This window comes from Homo sapiens, chromosome 10 (genome assembly GCF_000001405.40).
Source record: "Homo sapiens chromosome 10, GRCh38.p14 Primary Assembly".
NCBI classification, from domain to species: domain Eukaryota; kingdom Metazoa; phylum Chordata; class Mammalia; order Primates; family Hominidae; genus Homo; species Homo sapiens.
The window spans coordinates 57132105-57137070 of NC_000010.11; the positions used below are offsets into that span (position 1 = coordinate 57132105).

General features: G+C 37.8%; 1 annotated feature.

Moving 5' to 3' along the window:
* Positions 1356-1898: an enhancer, noted in NCBI's record as "NANOG hESC enhancer chr10:58893220-58893762 (GRCh37/hg19 assembly coordinates)". NCBI's record gives its function as "activates a minimal SCP1, AML or CMV promoter by ChIP-STARR-seq in primed H9 embryonic stem cells {active_cell/tissue: H9 hESC(primed)}" and the evidence as "EXISTENCE:reporter gene assay evidence [ECO:0000049][PMID:30033119]".

Below are 4966 nucleotides of genomic sequence, written 5' to 3' on the forward strand. Positions count from 1 at the left end.
ATTCCATCAAGGAATGTGAGGGCAGAAAGTGACTACCACGCAATTGTAAAATTCAGCTTTAATAGGGTCTCTAATAATTTCTTAGATAAACTTGTGGAGTAGATTAATGTGAGGACTGGGCTGTGAATTTATCACTTTATCTCTTCTGTATCAACCATAATTGGTGTTCCACAAAAATTTGTGTAATTAATATGAAGTCCTCAAATAAATCTTGAGCATCAGTAATCAAGTGAAATATTATGTATAATACAGATTAAAATTTGGACATTTTCTTTTATATTTCAATACCGTGGATAAAACACGCGTATGCACACACACAACACACACAAACACACAGTTTTAAATCTTGTTATGGTAGCATTCTATAAGGAAGAAAAGACCTCAGATTGCATTCTCATGTGAAGATTTAAGTGAGAATAAAATAATTATCTAGTAAATCCTGGTGGTACTTAGTCCATCATGATAATTAAGGCAGATTTTATGCATAATTGCATTGACCTCATATTTTCCCTTATTATTTGTAGACACATTACAATATATCCAAAAAAACGTAATTTGGCTTGTCAATAATGAAATGTCAAGTCTGTAGTACTTCCTGGTTTATAATGGAATTTTAATAAAATTGTAAAAGCTATCTAAAATGATACCAATAAATCATTTTAGGTAACACTTTCAGTAATATTCATTTAATGCATGTACAACCCTCTAAGTTTCATTCTTTTGAATTTAATGTATTCCTGCTGTACCATATTTTCATTATTTGGGGTATGATCATACATTCTGTCTAGTTTTGCTTTATGATATTTATGATATTTTTATTGTTTTCAGTACAGAAACTAAGCTAGATGTCCTTATGCCGGGCAGGCGATTGGTTTTAGACTCTGGTCCTTATTTAAAATTAAGTGCAAATTTTCATTTAAATATATTTTGGGGGTTACTAAAATGAAAAAAACTGACTCAAGAACTAAACTACAATTAAAACATATGATCAAAATACTATTATAACAGGAAATATAATTTAGAAACTATAGAGTTGCCAATAGAGAGCTCTGAGGGATATTCCTAGCATTTTCTTTTTTTAAAAAAGGAAAAAGTTGATGCATATATTTAAGTTATTTTGGTTCTATTAGCTTTAATAAGGGTCTATGAGTCTAAGAAAAGAGATTTTTCATGAACTGTGGATTTAATATTAAGGCAAGGAATCTGTGGTAGAGAGAATTCTGAAATGCCATCCTGCCAAGGTTTCTACCCTCTGGTTAGGTGCCCCATTCTCTCTCTTCTGGAGTGTGGGTGGGAACACGAATACAATGCATTCCGCTTCCTTCGTGAGGTTATCTTATAATACATGCCAAAGCAGAAAGGAATGTGAGGAAAGAACTAAAATCTCAAATCAATTGACCATAAATTAATCCTGAGTGGATGTGACCTATTGAGGTGAACTCTTAAATACAATCTAGACCCTTCTTGAAGACAGACTGTAGAAGCCAGGAGAAATTCTCCTGCTCCATCGGGAAGAAGCAAACTTCCATATTGAGGCAACAGATTAAGACCAAGCTATAGGAGCTGAAAGCAAACCCTAAAAGACAAATAGCAAAAGAATGAACACCTCAGTCCTACCGATACAAGAAAATCTTTCATCAAATGAAGAGCAGTTTGTTTTAATTGTTTTATCTTCGACTCAAATTATCTGAATTTACTTGACAATGACAATAATTTACATTCAAGAGCACTTTACACAATGACTTGACAAATGATCCCCAGAGTTAAAATTTGCTGCCTTCCACATTATTTTTTGTTGTTGTTTTCTGGATATTTCTGTAATATAATAGGCTAACAAAAGTATGAATATTATTTTCTACATACATTAAGAAGAATTGTGCAACAGTATTTTGCTTAGGATTGAAATATTTTAAAATATCAAAGTATTCTCTTGAAACTGAAGTTGGAAAATGCCATGTATAAATTGCTTCCTTTAACCAGAGAAAAGCAATGCAACAAAGGTGAATTCAGGTGCAATAAAATTTTAATTTAAATTTCCCAGTTATTATAATAGGTTTTAGAACTTACAGATAACTTTTTATAACATAAAAGTTATGAATATATTTTCCAAAAGCTCAAAAAAGCTGAAGGACTTCAAAAATGATATCTTAGAATGATGAAAATAATACAATAGAAAACAGGCAGGTAGTGAAGACCTGGTCAACATCCTACCTGTAAGCTATTTTAAGGGGTTGCTAAATAAGCATAAAACAATCTTTGCAAAAAAATTATAACAGTGAGAAAATTATGACAGTGAAAGAGATCTGATTTAACCCACCTCCCGTCTTGCCTTTTTCTAAGTTGTCCTGAGGTTTTGGGGCAAGCTAACTTTGAGAGACATTTAGATTGTAGTTTAAATGATACTAGCCATTCTACAAAAGTCGACTACCTTTGTAAACCTAATAAAAGCCCCTCAGACTGGGGAGGAGAGGAATCTAAATTATGCCTATACACATAAACAATTCCCAGTCACACCTGCAGATAACACCACTATTGTATATCGGCCTTCTGAGATATCTATTCAGGTTTTTTGCATGTCTGACACCCATGGTTCCACCTGGACCTAATGGTTCCACTTGGACCTGTCAACCTCACTCCTGTGGCCTGACCCAGAAGTGATTCAGCAGGCAGGAAGACAGTTTCACCACCTATGATTTCATCTCTGCCCCAACCTATCAGCAGCAAGCCTAGCAACCTTTACCCCATGGTGATGGTTAATACTGAGTGTCAACTTGATTGGATTGAAGGATGCAAAGTATTGACCCTGGGTGGGTCTGTGAGGGTGTTGCCAAAGGAGATTAACATTTCAGTCAGGGGGCTGGGACAGGCAGACCCACCCTCAATCTGGGCGGGCACCATCTAATCAGCTGCCAGTGCAGCTAGAATATAAAGCAGATAGAAAAATGTGAAAAGAGAGGCTGGCCTAGCCGCTCGGCCTACATCTTTCTCCCATGCTGAATGCTTCTTGCCCTCAAACACTGGATTCCAAGTTCTTCAGTTTTGAGACTTGGACTGGCTCTCCTTGCTGCTCAGCTTGCAGATGGCCTATTGTGAGACCTGTGACCATGTGAGTTAATACTTAATAAATTCCTCTTTACATATATCTATGTCTATATATCTATGTATATCTACATCTATATCTGTATCTATATATCCTATTAGTTCTGTCCTAGAGAACCCTGACTAATACAGATTTTGGTAGCAGAAGTGGTTCTAGGGGAGCAGATTATTAAGGATGAAGTCCCTTCATTGTTTTTGGGGTTTCTGGACTTGGCTGCTTAATATGATTAGACACAAAAACTCTAAGGACCCTACTTCTAACATACGGAGACCACTGAGAGTCCTTGGTGTAAACTGTTTAGAGAGTTATGTAGAATAAATGCATTTGACACTCTTGATTCTCTGCTCATGAGAGGCAAGGAGTTTAGTGACTCTGTATAATACCTTTGTCCATATCTGGAGAACCAAGAAACATAATGAAGGAGGTTGGTTTCTCTTAAGTTCAGTGGACACAATGATGAAAAAAAATGAGGAACTCAGGAATTCTAACTCCTGGATTCAGAAGTGGATACTCAGCCTCAAATCTGCTAAGAATGCCCTGAGTGAGAGTCTTATCTTCTGGAGAGAAAGATCTGAAATTGTGGAAAAGCAGACACAGCTCTTATCATGAGAGTGGTTGACATGCAATGAAAGGTGCATGCACAGCCTCACCAGGTGTCTCCTGTTAAAGTCAGGGGATTGATTGGAAAAGAATGGGAATGTGCAACTTGTAATGGTGACGTGTGGGAGGACCCTGATGATGTTGGAGACACTGAGTTTGTAAACTCTGATGAACCTTTTTTGCTAGAAGAAATAGCTTCCCCATCCCCAATAGTGGCAACATCCCCTCCCCAACCCATGCTGCCATCAGCCTTTACACATTTGTTTGAGGAGATAAACTCTGCACTGCCTGAGACAACAGTGATGGCCTCCACCAAGGAAGTCGCCAGGCAAGATAATGTTGATTCTCCTCCGGAGCCACCCTCAACACCCCCGTTTGCTTCGAGACCTATAACTAGACTAAAGTACTGGTGGGGCCCTAGAGGTAAGGTTCAGAGTGTGACCCATGAGGAGGTATGCTACACTAGAAAAGAACTGCTTGAGTTTTCTAATTTATATGAGCATAAGTCTTGAGAACAGGCATGGGAATGGATATCAAGGGTGTGGGATAACGGTGGATGGAACACAAAGTTGGTTGGATCAGGCTGAATTTATTGATTTGGGCCCACTAAGTAGGGAATCTGCATTTAATGTTGCAGTTGAGGGAGTTACAAAAGGTTCTAATAGTTTATTTTCTTGGTTAGCTGATATATGGATTAATAGATGGCCCATGTGAGCGAGCTGGAAATGCCTGATATCTCTTAGTTTAATGTAGAGGAAGGGATCCAAAGGCTTAAGGAGATTGGGATTGTGGAGTAGATTAGTCATTTTAGACCTATCATCTGAACTGGAAGGGCCCAGAAGATATACCCTTGGCCAATGCCTTGTGCAATAGATTTGTGAGGACAGCACCTGCATCTTTGAAGAGCCCTGTAATTGCTCTTCTCTGTATGTCAGAGCTAACAGTGGGAGCTGCAGTCAGTCACTCAACTACGAAATTTAAATAAAATGGGAATAATTGGATCCTGAGGTGGCAGGGGTGAAGTGGCAGCACTCAACCATCAAAAGCAAAGTGGGTGTAGCTACTGTAATGGACAGCAGAGGCAAAGTGGCAATCAGAATAATCTGACTCATGTTGAGCTCTGGCATTGGCTAATTAATCACAGTGTCCTTAGAAGTGAAATTGATAGGAAGCATACTGCATTTCTACTTAATTTATGTAAGCAGAAAACTTCTGGGTCGAATGGACAAAAGACTAATTTGAATTTTAAAAACAGAGAATCATGGC